The sequence below is a fragment of the Homo sapiens genome, chromosome 18 (assembly GCF_000001405.40).
Source record: "Homo sapiens chromosome 18, GRCh38.p14 Primary Assembly".
In the NCBI taxonomy this organism is placed as follows: domain Eukaryota; kingdom Metazoa; phylum Chordata; class Mammalia; order Primates; family Hominidae; genus Homo; species Homo sapiens.
Window position 1 is genome coordinate 59,871,444 of NC_000018.10, and position 22,152 is coordinate 59,893,595.

The 22,152-nt window shown below is 42.4% G+C and overlaps 3 annotated features.

Annotated features, from left to right (window-relative positions):
* Positions 4,491-4,750: an enhancer, noted in NCBI's record as "active region_13419". NCBI's record gives its function as "activates an Ori minimal core promoter by ATAC-STARR-seq in GM12878 lymphoblastoid cells {active_cell/tissue: GM12878}" and the evidence as "EXISTENCE:reporter gene assay evidence [ECO:0000049][PMID:35858748]".
* Positions 11,005-11,054: an enhancer, noted in NCBI's record as "active region_13420". NCBI's record gives its function as "activates an Ori minimal core promoter by ATAC-STARR-seq in GM12878 lymphoblastoid cells {active_cell/tissue: GM12878}" and the evidence as "EXISTENCE:reporter gene assay evidence [ECO:0000049][PMID:35858748]".
* Positions 14,436-14,665: an enhancer, noted in NCBI's record as "active region_13421". NCBI's record gives its function as "activates an Ori minimal core promoter by ATAC-STARR-seq in GM12878 lymphoblastoid cells {active_cell/tissue: GM12878}" and the evidence as "EXISTENCE:reporter gene assay evidence [ECO:0000049][PMID:35858748]".

The window sequence follows — 22,152 nt, forward strand, 5'->3', positions numbered from 1 at the left end:
AGGCCGAGGTGGGTGGATCGCTTGAGCCCAGGAGTTCGAGGCCAGTCTGGGGAACAAATTGACACCCTGTCTCTACGAAAAAATTACAAAAATTAGCCATGCGTGGTGGCACTCGCCTGTAGTCCCAGCTACTCAGGAGGCTGAAGTGGGAGGATCACTTGAGCCTAGGAGGTTGAGGTTGCAGTGAGCTGTGATTGTGCCACTGCACTCCAGCCTGGGCTACAGAGTGAGACCCTGTCTTAAAAAAAAAAAAAAAAGAAAAAGAAAAGAAAATGAAATTGCTCTTATTGTAACCTGCAACCTGAAGACTGAGAGTTTTATTTTCAAAACATTTTTGACTGTGAAGATGAGGAGTCTGATACTTTGAATAAACAAAACTCAGGTCCTGGCAAATATGTATGCAACTAAGTGTTAAATCCCCTGTAGTTCAGACACGTCCGCTGCCTAAGATCACATGCTGAGTTAGAGTCGGGACTGAGTTAGAGTCGGGACTAGACTCCAAGACTCTCCACCGTAGACTTGTTTCCCTTTACTCCCTTCAGTATTTTATGAAATGATTTTTTTTTTTTGAGACAGTCTCCTTCTTTTGCCCATGCTAGAGTGCAGTGGTTATTCACAGGCTCCATTACTGCACACTGCAGCCCTGAACTCCTGGGCTCAAGCGTCCTCCCACCTCAGCCTATGGAGTGGCTGGGACTAAAACCACACATCACTGCACCTGGCTGAAATGACTTTAAGCTTGGAATTCAATGCCTGTTTAAAACTTAAGTACTGACCTGACCGGGCACTGTGGCTCACACCTGCAACCCTAGCACTTTGGGAAGCAGACGCCTGAGGATTTCTTGAGCCCAGGAGTTGGAGATCAGCCTGGGCGACAGAGTGAGACTCCGTCTCAAACAAACAACAAACAAACAAAAAAACCACACACAAGTGTTTTTAGGTATAGCTTCTCACTATTTTCTTGTTTCTTTTCAAAGATTAATGAATTATATACATTTTATATAAAGTTCTGAAATGTATAAAGGATGCAAAGGTTTATTTTTCTTGAAATTTTGAGAACTCCTTTTTATTGTATACCACTTAAAATGGTAAACAGGAGACATATTTGCTGAATAACAATGTAGAACTGAACCTTGTGACTTAAAAACAAATCCTCAGCTGAAAATAGCATCTAGGCGAGATGTCCCTGCACTGGAGAGTGACATCAGAAACTACAGCCACAAACAATTTTCTCAAGATAATGGAACTGATAGGGGGCAGGGGGAGGTTCTAGAAATCTCACAAAGGAGAATCTCAAAAAGAGATCTGGGCTCATAAATGTCTATTTACAAACCCTGGGTTTGAAAAATACACTCAGTGAAAACATGTTGAATTTTGTAAAGGAAATCAGCCAATCATAAAGGATTTTGGCACAAAGCTGGCTTTTACCTTTTTTCTTTCTTTTCTTTTTTTTTTTGGTTTTGTTTTGTTTTTGAGACGAGTTTTGTTCTTGTTGCCCAGGCTGGAGTGCAGTGGTGCAATCTTGGCTCACTGTAACCTCCATCTCCCAGGTTCACGTGATTGTCCTGCCTCAGCCACCAGAGTAGCTGGAATTACAGGTGCCACCATGCCTGGCTAATTTTTGTATTTTTGGTAGAGACGGGGTTTCACCATGTTGGCCAGACTGGTCTCAAATTCCTGAACTCAGGTGATCCGCCCGCCTCAGCCTCCCAAAGTGCTGGAATTACAGGTGTGAGCCACTGCACCTGGCCTGGCTTTTAGCTTTTAAAGCTGGATATTTGAATTTCTAAAATTCTTAATAATTTGCCTTATTTGAATAATTAATTATGCTACTTCTTGCTATTTTGTTCAATGCCACTGTTAGTATTAAAACAGAGTTCAAGCCACTTGAACTGACAACTAATATCCAGCTAGTAGATCTATCCTAATATTGAGTGACACAGGGCCTTCACAATCAAACCTTTGGCTTTTGGCCAGGCGCGGCAGCTCATGCCTGTAATCCCAGCACTTTGGGAGGCCAAGGTGGCCGAATTGCTTGAGCTCAGGAGTTCGAGACCAGCCTGGGCAACATGGCAAAACCCTGTCTCTACCAAAAATACAAACAAATAGCCAGAAGTGGTGGCATGTGCCTGTAGTTCCAGCCACTCACGGGGCTGAGGTGGGAGGATCGCTTAAACTCAGGAGACAGAGGTTGCAGTGAACCTAGATCACTCCATTGCAGTCCAGTCTGGTTGACAGAGTGAGATCTCATCTCAAAACAAAAACAAAAACAAAACAAAAAACAAAAATCTTTGGCTTTCACTCTTGATTCTTTTTTAAAATAGACAAGCACAAATTTCCAAGCTTCTTCTGTGCATCTGGGCAGGAAATGATTATATCTGACGTTGATCTAAAAACAACTGGGTCATATCCTTATATTTATACAAACATTAGAAAGGAGTAGGCATTATGGAAACTTCTGTCTGTTAGAATGAAAGTCCAGATTTTATTCCAAATTGTGTTCTCTATCTGCCACCAAGAATCCTAGAAAACAATGTGAAAAAGCCTGAAAACTTTCCAGATAAAGTTGGAGGAAGCCACCAAGACGCTTCCCACTTTAGAGGCTATTCAGAAAACTCTGCTATCGGGTGAGATAAATCCTTCTGGGACAAAACTCTAAATGGATATGATTCCATTAGAAATTATTACAGTATTTTTATTACAATATCTATTTGGAAAGACACTTTTACAGAACAGCTCCAATTGAAGACTGAAGAAACAACAAGCAACTAAAACCAAAATACAACTACAATAAATCCGTTTACTTTCATAAAATTGTCTCAGGGTTTACGAAGGGATTTTACACATATTTGGTCATTTGAGCGATCAAAGGAGAAATTACATCATGCTGGTTTGTTTTCAAATGGCCTGGACTTCATCTTCCTTGGTGGAATTCATAAACTACTGATGTGACTCATCATCGAAGGCTGACATGTCTCATGCACCCAGAATGCACCGACCACTGTCGCACACTTTACTCTTGATGTTCAAGTTTAGAGGTAGATCACCTCTCTTTAAGAGCTGCCTGAGACAAATCCATGAAAACAGACTTGAGAACTGGTATAGACCAGTGCAAAGAACGTCGGTGTCAGGAAATAGCCTGAATTTTAGAATGAAAACCTCTTATATTTATCTTGTTGGGTTTTGGTTTTTCTCCCCCAGCTTTATTGAGGTAAAATTGACAAAAAAAAAATTATATATATTCATGGCCAGGTGTGGTGGCTCATGCCTGTAATCCCAACACTTCGGGAGACTGAGGTGGGAAGATCACTTGAGATCAGGAGTTCGAGACCAGCTTGGCCAACATGGTGAAACCCTGTCTCTACTAAAAATACAAAAATTAGGCTGGGCGTGGTGGCTCACACCTGTAATCTCAGCACTTTGGGTGGCCGAGGCGGGCAGATCACCCGAGGTCAGGAGTTTGAGACCAGCCTGCCCAACATGATGAAACCCTATCTGTACTAAAAATACAAAACATTAGCTGGCTGTGGTAGTGGGCGCCTGTAATCCCAGCTACTTGGGAGGCTGAGGCAGGAGAATCACTTGAACCCGGGAGGCGGAGGTTGCAGTGAGCCGAGATTGCGCCACTGCACTCCAGCCTGGGTGACAAGAACGAAACTCTATGTGGAAAAAAAAAAAAATTAGCCTGGTGGGGTGGCGCATGCCTTTAATCCCAGCTACTCGGGAGGCTGAGGCACAAGAATCGCTCGAACCCAGGAGGGAGAGGTTGTGGTGAATTTGCACTCCAGCCTGGGTGACAGGGAGAGACTTTGTCTCAATTTAAAAAAATAAAAAATAAAATAAAATATATATATAGTTTACAACATAATGATTTGATATATGTATACATTGTTTACCACAATGATTACCACATGATTACCACAATCATATTAATTAATACATCCATCACCTCACCAAGTTACCATTTTCTGTGCATGTGAATGTGTGTGTGTGTGACAACACTTAAGCTTACTCTCTCAGCAAATTTCAAGTAATCAACACAGTATCCTTAACTATAGTCACTATGATGTACAGAATGTATTTTTTTTTGAGACAGAGTCTTGCTGTCGCCCAGGCTGGAGTGCAGTGGCGCAATCTCGGCTCACTGCAAGCTCCGCCTACCGGGTTCACGCCATTCTCCTGCCTCAGCCTCCCGCGTAACTGGGAATACAGGCGCCCGCCACCACGCCCGGCTAACTTTTTTTTGTATTTTTTAGTAGAGACAGGGTTTCACCGTGTTAGCCAGGATGGTCTCGATCTCCTGACCTCGTGATCTGCCCTCCTCGGCCTCCCAAAGTGCTGGGATTACAGGCGTGAGCCACCGCGCCCGGGCAAGAACATGTTCATCTTGTAACTGAAAGTGTGTACTCTTTGGCTGTCTTCTCCCTATTTCTCTCACCATCCCCCTTGGCCCCTGGCAACCATCATTCTACTCTCTGCTTCTGTGAGTTGATTTTTTAAGATTCCACACAGAAGTGAGATCACACAGCTTGTGTCTTTCTGTGTGTCTTATTTCACTGAGCATAAGGTCCTCCAGGTTGAACCTTGTTTATTTGAATCTCAACTCTGCCCTGCTTTTGCTAGCAATTTAGCCAAGGGCAGTTTTCATATCTTGTAAAATCGAAACAATTCTTACTTTACAGGGTGGCGGTGAAAGTTAAATAAGACACTGTATGAAATGTGTGCCCCTGAAATTACAGTCTAATCCATTTACATTATCCTAGTTATCCAGGAGCCTGTAGGTATAAAAAGCAAAAACAGGAGACATATTTGGTGAATAACAATGTTGAACTGAAACTTGTGACTTAAAAACAAATCCTCAGCTGAAAATAGCACCTAGGAGAGATTACCCTGCACTGGAAAGTGACATCAGAAACCATAGCCACAAACAATTTTCTCAAGATATGGAACTGATAGAAATCTCACAAAAGACAGCCTCAAAAAAGGGGTGTCTTTTATGCTAGCCGTCACTCTTTACCCTTAACTGGTCAGAATTTTGTGCTCTAGTCCCAAAGTTATTTTCAGATAGTCTGCACCTCCACGTTTATTCAAACAGTATTCCCAAGAGCCAAGATATGAAATCATTGATTCCAATAAGAGATGAATGGATAAAGAAAATGTGGTACATATACACCTCGGAATACTATTAAGCCATAAAAAAGAATGAAATCCTGTCATTTGCAGCAACATGGATGGAACTGGAGGACATTATGTTAAGGGAAATAAACCTGGAACAGAAAGTTAAACACAACATGTTCTTACTCTTGTGGCAAAGCTAAAAATAGTTAATCTCATAGAAGTAAAAAGTAAAACAGGCTGGGCACGGTGGCTCACGCCTGTAATCCCAGCACTTTGGGAGGCCGAGGCAGGTGGGTTGCCTGAGGTCAGGAGTTCAAGACCAGCCTGGCCAACATGGTGAAACCCGGTCTCTACTAAAAATACAAAAAACTAGGGGCGCTTGGTGGTGGGCACCTGTAATTCCAGCTACTAGGGAGGCTGAGGCAGAAGAATCGCTTGAACCTGGGAGGCAGAGGTTGCAGTGAGCCCACATCTGGCCATTGCACTCCAGCCTGGGCAACAAGAGTGAAACTCTGTCTCAAAAAAAAAAAAAAAAAAAAAAAGGTTACAAAATTACAACTAGATAGAAGGAATGAATTCTGGTATTCTATACCACTGTAGCATTACCAGAGCTAACGATAATATATAGTTTCAAATAGCCAAAAGGAGGATATTGAATGTTCCCAACAGAATAAATAATAAATGTTTGAGATAATGGACATTGCTAGTTGACTCCGGTCAGATCACAATATATTTATCAAAATATCACTATGGACCCCATAAATATGTATAATTATTATTTATCCATCAAATTAATAGTTAACATATTATATATATAGGTTAAGACATTGCAGTAGAAAAAAAAGACTGTAATAAGATAAATTATAGGAAGAACATATTTAATTTTATTGACTTGTCCTAAGGTAAAGTTAATGCTTTTGGGGGGGCAGGAGTTTTTCCTTCCTCTTTTACATAGATGGATATCCAAGGAACTAAAAATAGATGACTTCCCCTTTTTTACTAGATCTTGCCCAATTAAGAAACCATTCCATTACACAAGCATTCCTTGGCTCCCCAGATGTTGTTTTTCTGTTTGTAGTTTTCAATGATGTTGGTTAGAAATATATTGATTTGTTTAAAATGATTTCTGGGCTTCTGAGAAAGCAGACATATTTCCTTTTTATAACTATTTTCATTTGCCCTGTGCATGCCTCCGTGTGTGTGTGTGTGTGTGTGTGTGTGTGTGTGTGTCTATCAGTAATATCAGTAAAACAATCTTGGACATTGTGACCAAATTACCATGGAAAGCCATAGCTCTATCCCTAAATCTAATTAGACACCTTTTATCACTGAGTGTTACATAGTCCTGAGATTGGATGTTTATGAAAAGTATATTCAAGCCTGGGCACGGTGGCTCATGCCTATAATCTCAGCACTTGGGATGTGGAGGCGGGTGGATCACTTGAGGTCAGGATTTCAAGACTAGCCTGGCCAATACGGTAAAACCTCATCTCTACTAAAAATACAAAAATTAGCTGGGCATGGTGGCATACACCTGTAATCCCAGCTACTTGGGTGACGCAGGAGACTCACTTGAAGCTGGGAGGCGGAGGTTGCAATGAGCCGACATCGCGCGATTGCACTCCAGCCTGGGCAACAGAGCCAGACTCTGTCTCAAAAATTTAAAAAAAAAAAAAAAAAGCATATTCAGGTGAGATGAAAAATCCATTTACATGTCTTAAGAACAAAAGAAATGCAAAATCAAGAGATCATTCAGGTAAGAATTGCAGAGCCCCACAGGTAGAAGAGCATGAAGTGAGAGGTCACAATAGGCTATAGACCCACAAATTATGAAGTCCCTGTTACAGACTATAAATAAGGCTCAGGATGCTCTGTCACCATGCCTGATGAGAGTCCAACGAGCATACCAATCCCAAAAATTACATGGAAAGATAAACCCCAGATTTAGATAGTCTGAAAAGATAGTTTCCTTTGTATTATATTTTTCTACCAGAAGAATGTGTATTAGGTATACAAATGTTTAAGAGAATAAAATCTTTAGGATTAATATACTGTGAGGAGAGTGTACCATATCTGGTATTCTATGTATGTTTAAGTAGAATGTGTAAGAAATTTGGACCTATATGTTATTATATGTAGTTAGTGTTTATGAAAGTTGGGCCTAATTTTAAATTACAGTTATTAAGGCAGCTCCTCCTTACTCCACTTTGGCTCAGCAGACTCCAAAGCCCTTATTCCCCACCTCCACACACTCTTCAAATATGAAAGTGATCTACACAGTGAGTCAGATCAGAACAGTTCAAGATCTAGTCAAAGGGACACCATTTAAGCCTGCACTGCATGACCATACAAGAGTGGTTGTTTGAACCAGGGGGCTCACACCTGTAATCCCAACACTTTGGGAGGCAAAGACAGGAGGATCGCTTGAGCTCAGAAGTTCAAGACCAGTCTGGGAAACAGAGCAAGACCCCACCTCCACAAAAAATATTTTAAAAAGTAGCTGAGTATGATGCCACATGCCTGTAGTTCATCCTAGCTACATGGGAGGCTGAGGCAGGAGGATGGTTTGAGCCTGAGAGGTTGAGGCTACAGTCAGTCGTGATGATGCCACTGCACTCCAGCCTGGGCCACTGAGCTAGACCCTTTGTTCAAAACAAAACAAAACAAAACAAAACAAAACAAAACAAAACAAAACAAAATGGTGGTCACTCAAAAGGTATCTTACTTCCACTGATGCCCATACTTAACATGGGCCAGCTCTGGGCACCCCTCCCACCCCCAAATGCCCAATTAATCAGCAGTGCTATTCACAGAGTAATATTAAGCATCCTGTTTGTTAATTTACTTACTTTACAATAGCACTTAGAACATTTAACATTTATCAAAACTTTCTACCTCTGTGGATTTTGTTAGGACTGAGAGCAAATCATGCTTTCCACTCACTTTCTTAAATAAAAATGATAAAAGCCGGGCTTGGTGGCTCACGCCTGTAATCCCAGCACTTTGGGAGACTGAGGCGGGCAGATCATGAGGTCAGGAGATCGAGACCATCCTGGCTAACACGGTGAAACCCCGTCTCTACTAAAAATACAAAAAAATTAGCCGGGACTTGTGGCGAGTGCCTGTAGTCCCAGCTACTCAGGCAGCTGAGGCAGAAGAATGGCATGAACCCGGGAGGCGGAGGTTGCAGTGAGCCGAGATCGTGCCACTGCACTCCAGCCTGAGTGACAGAGTGAGACTCTGTCTCAAAAAAAAAAAAAAAAGATAAAAATAAGACAAAACCTAAATCTTCCTTTAACAAATAAGCTCAAACAATACAATAAGAAAAGGATGAGAAAATAAAAGTTTTACACTATCCCAACAGTTATCAGAGGTTTTGTTTTGTTTTGCTTTTGTTTTGTTTTTGAGACAGGGTCTTGCTCTGTCACTCAGGCTGGAGTGGAGTGGCGTGCTCTGGGCTCACTGCAATCTCCACCTCCTGGTCTCAAGCAATCCTCCCATCCCTGCCTCCTGAGTAGCTGAGATTTCAAGTGCATTCCACCACGCTGGGCTAATTTTGGTATTTTTTTGTAGACACCAGGTCTCACCATGTTGCCTAGGCTGGTCTGGAATGCCTGGGCTCAAGCAATCTGCCCACCTTTGCCTCCCAAAGTGCTGGGATTACAGGTGTGAGCCACCATGCCTGCCAAGGTTTTTTTTTTTTTAAACTGCTCTTGCATTTTCTTGTTTCCAATTGCTCTGTAAATGCTCTGACCTCAGTATGTTATGAACACAACAATGCCACCTCAATTCTCTTAGATTGCATGACACTAGTTTAAAAGTTAATGGTGAGGTACTGGGCCCGGTGGCCCATGCCTATAATTCCAGTACTTTGGGAGGCTGAGGTGGGAGGATCACTTGGGGCCAGGAGTTTGAGACCAGCCTGGACAACATAGTGAGATCCCGTTTCTACAAATAAATTTTTAAAGATTAGTTGGGCCTTGTGGTGCACGCTTGTAGTCCAGCCTGGACAAAATAGTGAGATTCCATTTCTACAAATAAATTTTTAAAGATTAGTTGGGCCTTGTGGTGCACACTTGTAGTCCCAGCTACTTGGGAGGCTGAGGCAGGAGGACCCCTTGAGCCCAGAAGTTCAAGGTTGCAATGAGCTGTTATCCACCACTGCACGCCAGCCTGGCTGAGAGTGAGATCCTGTCTCAACAAAAGTAAAATTTAAATAAAAAAATAAAATGAGAATTAACAGTGAGGGAGGCTAGAGGGGCTTCTTGAACTTTAAGGTGAATATGAATCCCATGAAAATCTTGTTAAAATGCAGATTCTGACTCAGCCAGCCTGGATCAGGGCCTGAGATTCTGCATTTTAATTCAGCTCCTAGAAGATGCAGATGTCCTTACACCCCTTCTCATACTGAGTGGCAAGGATGGTAGCAGTGAGTTAGACCAAGCCAGAACTAGAGTTTAATTTTGCTCTGGAGGCAAAAATGCACAGGGCAAGATCTCACAAGAAAAGTAAAGGCATTCTGTATGTGGGATTTTCCTTTCCTAAAAACCATTCTGGGGTGGGGGTGTGTGCAAGTTTTTCCCAAGTCACACAACACTGATGAATCTGCTATATTTGAACTACCCCCTTTTCTTAGATCTCTGTCATTCAGCGTATTAATGGTGATTCCACTGCAGATTGCCTGGATCCCTTGAAATTTGGGTAAAATAAAGAGGCTCTGGCTGGGTGTGGTGGCTCACGCTTGTAATCCCAGCACTTTGGGAGGCCGAGGAAGGTAGATTACCTGAGCTCAGGGGTTCGAGACCAGCCTGGCCAACACAGTGAAACCCCTTCTCTACTAATAATACAAAAATTAGCCAGGCATGCTCCTGTAATCCCAGCTACTCAGGAGGCTGAGGCAGGAGAATTGCTTGAACCTGGGAGGCGGAGGTTGCAGTGAGCTGAGATGACACCATTGCACTCCAGCCTGGGTGACAGAGTGCGACCTCATCTAAAAAAAAGGGGGGGTTATCTTCCCAAGGTGGAATCCAGTGAAGTTTGGCCTAGTAGTTGTTTATTTAAATAAACTCTTCTGGTAATAAACCTTCAGGGCAGGGAATTTTGAGGCTAAGATGAAAGAAAGCCCTGGCTGAAGAAACAATGACCAAAGCCACTCAATTGTCACTTCAGTGCTGGTGAGTGTGGATGCAGGTGCCCAGTAAGGCCAGACAGCAACATCCCTCAGGGTGAGTTATGACCCAGGCATCAAAGGAGGCCACCTCAACGCCCAGCTGCCAGGAGGAACATGATAGTCAAAGGAAAAAACAAGGGTGGGGCCCGTGTGAAGAGGCAAAATATATTCTCACTTTCATCAGGAGCTAGGATCGGCTGGGTGGATTACCCAGCCCTTGGCTAGAGTTCTGGAGGATTCAGATTAGAGATGCTGGATCAAAACAACGGAAGAAAAGGCTGTACAGAGCCATTCTGTAAACACAGGCCAAATTTTACTATTTGCTGCTCTACCTAATGTTGTGATTACTACTGAGTGCTTCCTCTCTTTGTTTGTTCTTCTGAGCCAACCTTTGTCCTCTCTGCCTAGACACTCATTTTCCTGGTAGGACACTCTGAGTTCCGGAAAGACGACAAGATGAATAACTAAGGCTCAGGGAGAGATAAATACTGCCCCGTCTGCAAAACCACAATGCCTGGCAACCACCTAGAGCCCCACACTTGGAAACAGAAAGAAATCCTGGGGTTTCTAGAAACCAAACCCACTGGGACCATACAACTTCAGACAAAGCTGTGGCCTCACTTGAGCATAGCTTACAACTCTCTAACGTTGATCACAGCAGAAGCCCCATGGCCATATGTACTGTAGCAGTTGGGGAGGGCGTGAGGTGGAAAAAAAAAAGTTTAAAAAAAAAGTTTCCATTCTTTTGAAGCCTGAGTTGAAATAAGGAGAGGGGAAGAAGCTGAGAAAAGCAGGAACTAATCGGGCAGCTGACTCACAGGGGCAGAATCTCAGGTTCATTTGCTCTCAGCAGAAAATTATCTCTCTCCAGTCAGTTCCACTGTTTTCACTCATCGAGCTGATAGCCTAAAAATAGAGATTAATGTGGAACATTATCTTTTAAAAATGCACCTCCCTCTGGGAATGGTAATAAGCCATCAGCCATTCACACATTGTTGTGAATTAGTTTAATTTAGTGAGTGGGAATTAGAATGGAGGAAATTTAGAAAGTAAGTAATCAGCCTTTATTTAACACATGAGGAAATCATGGTCCAGAGATGGGAGCTTCTGGGCTTGAGCTCGCACAGAAGGTAAACAGCAAACAGAGTTAAACAGCAACTACTACTCTCCCGGGTCTCCTGTGAGATCTGCCGACTCACATTCTCCTGGCACTCATTATGACATTTATTTATTTATTTATTTATTTATTTATTTATTTATTTGAGACCGAGTCTCACTCTGTCACCCAAGCTGGAGTGCAGTGGCGCGATCTCAGCTCACTGCACCCTCTGCCTCCCAAGTTCAAGCGATTCTCATGCCTCAGCCTCCTGAGTAGCTGGGATTACAGGCGTGAGCCACCGCGCCTGGCCATGACTGACGTTTAAAATAGTCATCTGCTGAGCATCCCTAGCATGCCAAGTGCAGGAGTAAGAGCTGGAGACACAATAGATGTGGCTGTCACCTCATGGAGCTTATAGTCCAGCTGGGAGACTGGTAAGTGAATACAGGATCAAGGACCACTCCCCAGTAAATGAAGCAACTCTGACCTCTGCTAGGTTATGAAGAAAGAAAACAAGACATAGAGATCAAGAAGGAGAATGATTTCAGATTAGGTGGCAGAAGAGGCCTCAGGGCATTTCAGCTGGGATCTGGAGGATGCAAAGGTGCTAACCTCGACAGGAGGGTGTGAATACATGTAAAAGTTTGAGGAAAGAAAGCTGCATGTCGTCCAGTAACTGACAAAAGTTCGCGGTGCTTTACATTGGACTTTCAAGATCTGGCTTCAAACCCTGGCTCCATAACCTACCAGCTCTGTGGCCTATGTATCTCCTGAGCTCGGGGATTTTGAGGTCATAAGAGATAGTGGTTAGAGATATTGTCTTCATCTAATGGCCTTTGAGATTAGAATTCATCCATTTACATTTCACTTGACTTCTGTTTTGGATACTTATTGCTAAGTTTCCTATGCTATACAGTGACATTTTTCAGTTCTGAGGAATATAAAAATGTCTTTTACTCTCACACTGACTTTCCAAACTCTAATACTTCGACATTGCTAACTCTGTGACTTCATTTTAAGATCTTGACACGGTTCCAATTATATATTATATCTTTATTTCATTGTAGTGTTGCTTGATAGTACTGAAAAAGATACTAATACACTTGACTCTGATTTTAATATCACCCTTTGCTCTGTATTTTAATTTCTGCTGCCACTAACAAATGGTAGCCTCTGTGAATTTCTGAAACTGCCCCTTAGAGACGGAATGAAATGGATACCATTTGGAGATCACTGGAAAAGCTCAAAGCAAAATTTATTTTATTGTTCTGTTGTTTTATTGTGAGTCCCATTAGATGGTTCCTGCCCCATCCAATCTTTCTTATTTATTTATTTAAACCTTCGGTTGATGTGTAACATACAGAAAACAGTGTCATAAATTTTCACAAATTGAAGACACATATGCAAACAGCAGTGACCCAGTTAAGAGATGGAATGTTATCAACACTCCAGAAGCCCTTCTTTGACCCCTTAAGTTACAAAACCTTGTAAGGGGGACCACTATTATGACTTCTAATGTCTTACAGTAGTTTTGCCTGCCTTTGAACCTTTTATAAATGAACCCACAAAGTATGTACTCTTCTGTGTCTGACTTCTTTCACTCCACATGTTTGTCATATTCATTCACATTCTTGCCCATAGTTACAGATCACTTATTGTAGTTGCTATACAGTATTTCACTGTGGGAAAATACTACAATTTATGCATTTTATAGTGGTTGGGCGTTTAGACAGGGTTCCAGCTTGGGGCCACTACAATTAGGGCTGCTATGAATATTCTTGGACATGCCTTTTGGTGAACATGTACGTACATTTCTATTTATAACTGAGAAGGAAATAACTTGGACCACATAAATTTGAATTTTATTTGCATATTCTTTGAGCAATTAACACAAACATATGCTTTAAAATATTCAAAAGTTACAGAAGAGTGTACAATAGAAAATAGTTGTCCCTTCTACTCCTGCCCACCAACCACTCCATTCTCCTTCTGAGAAGCTTACTGTTATCCATTTCTCATGAAAACAACAACAAAAACAACAACAAAAATATATATATATATGTAGCACTGGGCACAGTGGCTCACACCTGTGGCACTTTGAGAGGCTGGGGCGGGCAGATCACTTGAGCTGAGGAGCTCGAGACCAGCCTGGCCAACATTACGAGACCCAGTCTCTACTAAAAATGCAAAAATCAGCCAGGTGTGGTGGCACATGACTGTAGTCCCAGCTACTTGGGAGGCAGAGGCACGAGAATCACTTGAATCCAGTCAGCGGAGGTTGCAGTGAGCCGTGATCGCACCACTGAACTCCAGCCTAGGCAACAGAGCGAGACTCTGTCTCAATAAATAAATAAATAAATAAATAAATAAATAAAAAATAGCTTTTTTTCTTTTTGTTTTTGGAACTATCACATTTTATCGGTTGCAATCACATCTTTATAAACACATCCTAATTGATTGAACTGCGGTCCTAATAATACTAATAAACCATGTGTGACATAGTTTACAACATACTTTTATCTACTCTCGCTATTTAATCTTCCCCCCCAAACTGAGGAGGTAAGCACAGAGTTAAGACAACCATTTAACAGATGGGATAACTAAGCCCCAGGGAAGTCGATCCTTTGCCTAAGAACATGTTGGGTTTCCAATGGCAGAATTAGGAGTAAATCCAGATTTCTGGCTAAAACTAAGTAACTAGTTTTAGTTACTTCCTGCATTAAGGAATCAGAGTTAATATCTGACAGCAACAATGTCAAAACTGACAGTGCCTGGTACGTAGAGCTGCTGTGTCTCTTGGGAGCCAAAGCCGCCCAGGGAATCTGTGCTGGACCCAAGCCTCCTTTAGCCCAAAGCTCCAGAGCTCCAATAGGGCAGAGTTCCTGGGACCCTGAAAGGAGAGGGGGAAACTCTCATGGCTCCCGACGAAAGTTGGAGATCCCATGCTCCTCTCCTGCCAGAAAGTCACTGAATCAGATAAATGTGGGTATGTGGTTTTTGCCTTTTCCCCAAAAGACAGCTTTAAAAGAATTACCTACTGATGATGACCGAGCTAACTCATCTCCACTCCCCAGCCTGTTTGTGCACTTGAGGTCTCATATTCAGAAAGTGATTCATTTCCTCTTTTTTAGTTTCCTTTCTCTCTTTTTTTTTTTCTTCTCTGAAACAAAAATGCTTTTGTTTATAATCAAAGAATTCTGGTTGCAATTTGGCCTGTCATGTTTCCACCCAAGCACTGTGGCTTGCAAGGTTTCCCAGGAACGGCTTCTGTGTTTGAAATGAAGAATATGCCATTTTAAAATTTATTCCAGGGACTTTTAGGGTGGAACTGCCCCACTTACTTGCCCTATTCCCCTCATTTTAGGAATGGTCTTTTGACTTTTTTCATAGTGTTATTTTACTTGTTATATGTAAAATGTTTATTTGGAAACAGAATGTTTGTTCCCTGGTGCTACAAAGAAATAGCACTTGAACATAAATTTAATTTTCTTACTAAGGCCATTTTTACTTTCTGCAGAAAGAGTGCCCGTCACAGATGGAACAATGGCGACAGCACATCCAAACAAAGGAGGGAAGCAATTTTTATTCCTTAAGTAGTTTGTCCCTGCTACTGTGTCCTGTCTCCATTGGCTGGAGTCAGACAGCACAGTCTAAACTAAAACCCGATTGACTAACAGTTTGAAACTTTTTTAAATAGGTAAAAGTAATGGAAAGACAAAGGAAAAGAGGAAGTTGCTTATGCCAAATAGGGAAGGGGCATAGGCTGCGAGCTGGAAGGTGCCTGTGAGCATGTCCAGCACAAATATCTTGGTTAAGGTACAAGGACATAGAATGTACTACGTGCCTGTGAGCATAACAGCTACATAGGAGTGGACCTAACAAAGAGTTATTAGCATAAAGTGAGGAGGCTTGAAGGAAGTTAGTCTTTAAAAGAAATTATTATTTTTATCATTTATGATTTATTTTTTAACAAGAAGGGAAACTTTGAAGAGGAAACTTTTTACTTTCTACATTACTGATCCAAACTTTCATATTCCTAGGAAGTCAAATGTGTCCTTGGGATTTAGTCTTCACAGTAGGCTTTCAAAATCCAGTCCAATCCTAAAATGATGAAAATACTCACCTATGATTTATTTAAGCATGTTTTAACATGTTTGATATTTATATTTAAATGTGAAATTTTGGAATTTGTTTTGATGCAGATAATGAGGTAGGAAACTGACATTAATTATTTTTTCTGAATGTATAATCAATTGTCTCAAAACCACTTATGGAGGCCAGGCGCAGTGGCTCCCGCCTGTAATCCCAGCACTTTGGGAGGCTGAGACGGGAGGATCATCTGAGGTCAGGAGTTTGAGACCGGCCTGGCCAACATGGTGAAACCCCATATCTACTATAAATATATAAATTAGCCGCGCGTGGTGGTGGGTGCCTGTAATTCCAGCTACTCAGAAGGCTGAGGTAGGAGAATTGCTTGAACCCAGGAGATGGAGGTTGCAGTGAGCAGACATTGCACCACTGCACTCCAGCCCGGGCCACAGAGCAAGACCGTGTCTCAAAAAAACAAAAACAAAAACAAAACCCACTTATGGAATAATCAGTTCATTTTGTCTTCACTGAATTGAAATGCCACCTCCATCATATACATCATTCCCACATTTTGAGGTCTGTATCTTTAGCTCTCTGCTCTGCGGAACTATTTAATACTGTGTTTATATTTGCTTTGTAATATTTTAACGGGTAGGGGTGGTTGTCTGTGGGCTTTTTACATTCCTAAAAAAGTCTTCATGGCATTCTAATTGGACTTGCATTGTGTTCATAGAATAATTGGGCAGAGGAATGTCTTCTCATTCAGAAATCCTTCTTCCATTATGTCCTTCAGGACACAACCAGGATTCTTGATTTAGGTTTTGCATACGCCTTAGTAAGCATATTGATAATTTTCATTTTTTTCAGAGATGGGTTCTTGCTCTGTTGCCCAGGCTGTAGTGTAGTGGTACCATCATAGCTCACTGCAACTTCAAACTCCTGGACTCAAGCCATCCTCTTGCCTCAGCCTCCTAAGTAGGTGGGACTACAGCTGTGAGCCACCACACCGAGCCTATACATATATATATTTTTGTTACTAATTGAATGGTGCTTTTTTAAAACATTGATTTTTCTAACCGATTATGACTGAACTATAGCCTGTTATTGCTGGACTAAAACAGACTATAAGAAGGCTGTTTTATTTTTCTTTTCTTTTTTAGAGATGGGATTTCACTATGTTGCCCAGGCTGGTCTCGAACTCCTGGGCTCAACTGGTCCTCCTCCATTACTCTCCCAAGTAGCTAGGATTACAGGCACAAGCCACTGAGCTCAGAGTCCAAGTCTGTTTAAAAAACTAATGTGGTATCGGCCAGGAGCGGTGGCTCACGCCTGTAATCCCAGCACTTTGGGAAGCCGAGGTGGGCGGATCACGAGGTCAGGAAATCGAGACCATCCTGGCTAACATGATGAAACCCCGTATCTACTAAAGATACAAAAGAACTTAGCCAGACGTGGTGGCGGGCGCCTGCAGTCCCAGCTACTTGGGAGGCTGAGGCAGGAGAATGGCGTGAACCCGGGAGGCGGAGTTTGCAGTGAGCCGAGATCGTGCCACTGCACTCCAGCATGGGCGACAGAGCGAGACTCCGTCTCAAAAACAAACAAACAAAAAAAGCTAATGTGATATCTAGCCTGATTGAAATCTCATGATTTCTAAAGTCTTTCTCATTTTTCAACTCTCCTGACAGGTGTACCAGGGTGGTGGGGCTGCTAGCTATGTTCCTTAGGCCACCTCTCTTTCTCATTCTCCCTTTCTTCTCTCTCTTACTCACTTCTCATCTGTCCCCTTCTCCATTTCGATGGTTTGGGGCATGTCCTCTTGGGCACTGGCCCCTCCCCCACCCTATCTGGGCATAAGAACAAACTGTCACTCACTTTTTCCCTTTTGCTGTGGCAATTGGATTTGATGCTAGGGCAACTGGAGAACTCTGACAACATTTAAACAGAGAAGAGACTCTGTCTTTTAAAAATAAAAATCTGGTTTGGGCCTGGTGGCTCACACCTGTGATCCCAGCACTTTGGGAGACTGAGATGGTAGGATTGCTTGAAGCCAGGAGTTTGAGACCAGCTAAGGCAACATAGCAAGATCCCACCTCTACAAGAAATAAAAGGTTAGCTGGGTGTTGTGGCACATGCTTGTAGTCCCAGCTACTCTGGAGGCGTAGGTGGGGAGGATCACGTGCGCCTAGGAGTTCGAGGCTGCAGTGAGCTATGATGGTACCACTGCTTCCATCCTCGGAACAGAGTGAGACCCTGTCGCAAATAAATAAATAAATAAATAAACAAAAATAATCAAAAACAAATTAAAGACAAAAATTGATCACTTTGAAGCCATGGAGAGAAGAGTTTTAAGAAGGGACCTGGGAACATTTGAATTAAAGAAAAGTACTCTGGCTGCAGCGAGAATAGATGGAAAAAGGGGCAGGTTTGGAAGCGGGAAGGCCAAAAAGGAGGCACCTGCAGTGGTTCAGGCCAGAGGAAGTGATGTCCTAGACTGTGGAAAGAAATGAACACAGCCCAGGGATATTCAAGATGACTTCGCCCTGATTGGCTGTGGGGTGAAAAAGAGGGAGGGGCGGAGAGGGAGACCTGGGCCTCCGGCTGGAACAACTGGAGGGATGTTGAAGATGGTCCTGGGTGTGGAAACCACGAACCTACCTGGAGGATGAAGGAGGAAGGTGCTCAGTGCGTTTCAGAAAGAAGGCCGGGGAGGTTGGATCAGATGTCCTGATCTCCCAGTGCCTTCGCAAGGTCTGCAGTTGCTCTGTTTTTATTTTTTAATTTCATTTCATTATTATTTTTTGAGACAGGTTCTTGCTCTATCACCCAGGCTCTGAAACCCCATCTCTACCAAATATACAAAAAGTAGCCGGGCATGGTGGCTCACGCCTATAGTCCCAACTACTCGGGAGGCCGAAGTGGGAGAATGGTTTGAGCCTGGGAAGCAGAGGTTGTAGTGAGCCGAGATGGAGCCATTCACTCCAGCTTGGGCAACAGAGCCATACCCCATCACAGAAAGACAGACAGATATAGATAGACAGATAGATAGATAGATAGATAGATAGATAGATAGATAGATAGATAGGATGCAGCCTCCCTTAGCTTCCAATCTATCTGCTGCAGTGAAATTATACCTCTTACTAAAGGCAGCAATCACTGATTATCTACACAGCTGGGTAATAATTCTGCATGTTAGTAGTAACACTCAAAGCTTCTGCAGACTCAAAGCATCTTCCAATTATCTGTTCCCTTCTCAACACATGTATCTTGTCTTGTTCCTGCTGGCTCTTGTAAATCATGACTATCTTTTCCCTATTCCACGGGGCAAATGCTATGGGGCAATTGTATTCGTGTGTGTATGTATTATTACTGTTTTCATTCTTTTTGCCTAAGGCTATTTATCCAGGAGGCCTAGGATTCTTTTGCCTCCTGAGGATAATAAACAGGACTTTTTATTTTTCCTTTCCCTACATAATTTATTTAAATTGTAAAACAGGCCGGTGTGGAGGCTCACGCCTGCAATCCCAGAACTTTGGGAGGCCGAGGTGGTTGGATCACTTGAGGCTAAGAGTTCGAGACCAGCCTGGCCAACATGGTGAAACCCTGTCTCTACTAAAAATACAAAAATTAGTCAGGTGTAGCGGTGCACGCCTGTAGTCCCAGCTACTCGGGAGGCTGAGACATGAGAATGGCTTGAACCAGGAGGTGGAGGTTGCAGTGAGCCGAGATCACGCCACTGTACTCTAGCCTGGGTGACAGAGCAAGACTTCGTCGCCAAAAAGAAAAAAACAAAAAAACAAAAAAACTGTAAACCATAACACTAAACCAGAAAAGCACATAAAGTATAAATGTGCAGATTGGTAATTCATTTTACATTATTTGTTACTATTAATAAATCATTATAAATTTTTTCACTTAACTGTTTTGTAAAAATATTTCCATGTCACATAATTTCACCCAAAAATTATAATCTATTTTCTATTATCTGCTGCTAATTCAGAGGTACTGTCTTTAACTAGACTGTGAGCCACTTGAGGTCAGGTATCATTTCTTAAGTGCCTTTTCATTCTCTCCATTAGTGTCTCTATGTAACCCGAGAAGCTTTTTAAAGTGAAAATACCAAGTCTGAGGAAAGGTCTGTATTTTAAATAACCTCATCAATTAGTTCTGAGGTTGTACAGGAGCTACTCTTAGACAACCATTGCTTTCTACTCTCCCCTAAGAATAAATTACATAACTAGTAGTTCTTCAGTAACTACCTAAAAATCATTTTATTATCACCAGACATTAACGGTTCTGATAAATACAGCACTTACTAAGTCTCTTCAATTAAATCTTCTAAACTAATTGGATTTATTTCTTTGCTAAAAGTCAATAATTAAGCTAATTTAAATACTCAGGCAGTACTGACAAACTCCCTTCATTTCCAGGGGTAGCTTCTGAAACATACCTCTTCCTGCTTCTCTTCTGAAATCTTTGCAGAAAAAGAACAAAAGCACAAACATGCTCAATAGCCATCATCTACAATAATCCAGAAGGCCGGGGAAAAGTTAATAACATGAGAGAATAAAATGAAGAAGAGAGACTTTGGGTGCTGAATGTACTGAATTATCCAAAGAGAAAAGTAGAAGAGGCAATGAAAAGCAAGACAGAGCCAGCCTGAGGGGGTCAACTTTTAGTACTTTTTTCTCTCCCTCAGAAGCATAAATACAACTAAGTTGTATCTAGATTTCAAAAGGAATTAAACTGAAATTAATCTGCAAGTAACAAAGAGAAAGGAGGAAGGGCGGGATGTGGTGGCTCACGCGTATAATCCCAGCACTTTAGGAGGCTAAGTGGGGAGGACTGCTTGAGCCTAGGAGTTCAAGACCAGCCTGGGCAACACGGCAAGAACCCTGTCCCTACAAAAAAAATTTTTTTTGGCCGGGGACAGTGGCTCATGCCTGTAATCTCGGCTCTTTGGGAGGCCGAGGCGGGCGGACTGCCTGAGGTCAGGAGTTTGAGACCAGCCTGTCCAACATGGCAAAACCCTGTCTCTACTAAAAATACAAAAATTAGCTGGGCGTGGTGGCAGGCACCTATAATCCCAGCTACTCGGGAGGCTGAGGCATGAGAATCCCTTGAACCCAGGAGGCGGAGGTTGCAGTGAGCCAAGATCATGCCACTGCACTCCAGCCTGGACCACAGAGGGAGAGTTCATATTTAAAAAAAAAAAAAATTTTTTTTTTTAATTAGCCAGACGTTGCGTGCACCTGTGATCCTAGCTACTTGGGAGGCTGAGGTATGAGGATAACTTGAGCCCATGAGGTTGAGGCTGCCATGAGCTATGATCTTGCCAATGCACTCCAACCTGGGTGACAGAGCAAGGCCCTGTCTCAAAATAAATAAATAAATAAATAAATAAATAAATAAATAAATAAATAAGGAGAGAGAAAGGAAGTAAGGGGGCAGGGTGGGGATGTCCAGGAGAGAAGAGAAAGAGACAAACCCCAGAGTACTACAAACGAGTGAATGGCCAAGTAAGCTGTGAGCTGTCTACTTGATTACACTATTAGGAAGCAAGAAAAATGGTGCACATGAAGACCAGCAAATAACATTTGATATAACGTAAGTGAGAAACAGAATACAGAATCTTACATGAACTGCATGCAATTATGATTTTTAGAAACACTCATTGAAGATAAGACCAGAAGTATATACCGAAATCCTTTCTTTTCTGTCTGGTTTTGAGACAGAGTCTCACTCTGTCGCCCAGGCTAGAGTGTGGTGGCACAATCATGGCTCACTGCAGCCTCAACCTCCCAGGTTTAGGTAGTTCTTCCACCTTAGCCTCCCCAGTAGCTGGACCACAGGCATGAACCATCACACTCAGCTAATTTTTGTGTTTTTGATAGAGACGGGGGTTTCGCCATGTCCCCCAGGCTGGTCTCAAACTCCTGGGCTCAAGAAATCCTCCCACCTCGGCCTCCCAAAGTGCTGGGATTACAGGCATGAGCTACTGTGCCTGGCTGAAAATTTTTTTTTTAATGTTAAGAAACATTGTATTAAATGTTTCTTAAACAATACATTTAAAACCGCAGTCAGGGTCTTGCTATTTTGCCCAGACTGGTTGGTCTCAAACTGCTGGCCTCAAGTGATCACGCCTCATCGGCCTCCCAAAGCTCTGGGATTTCAGGCACTAGCCATTACACCCCGTCTCTAAATCCTCATAATGGTTGTGTTAAGGTGCTGAGATGAAAAGAGATTAAAAAGTTTTTTTCTCTGTTTCCCACATTTTATAATGTACTTACATGTTGCACTAATAGAAATTGAATTTACTTTCAAGCTCCTTCAGGGAATTTATTGAAAACTTGCTTGGCCTTGTGAGTGGGAAGCCCAGGTATGGGCGGAGGGTGGAGTCACACCATAACTTCCAGCTAAGAATATGTAGGACACATACTTTCTTGGCTGACAGAGGTTCTAAGCCTATTCCCTCAGAAGTCCTCTTACTCCTTATCTTGTCTATACTGCGCTTGAGTATTTCAGGCTGCTTTAAATTCATTGTCAAGTATACTAAGGGCCTTATGATTTGCAAAATGTGCAATTTGGTTTTGTTTGTTTAATTGTTTTTTGAGCTGGAGTCTCGTTCTGTTGCCAGGCTGGAGTGCAATGGCACAATCTCGGTTCACTGCAACCTCTG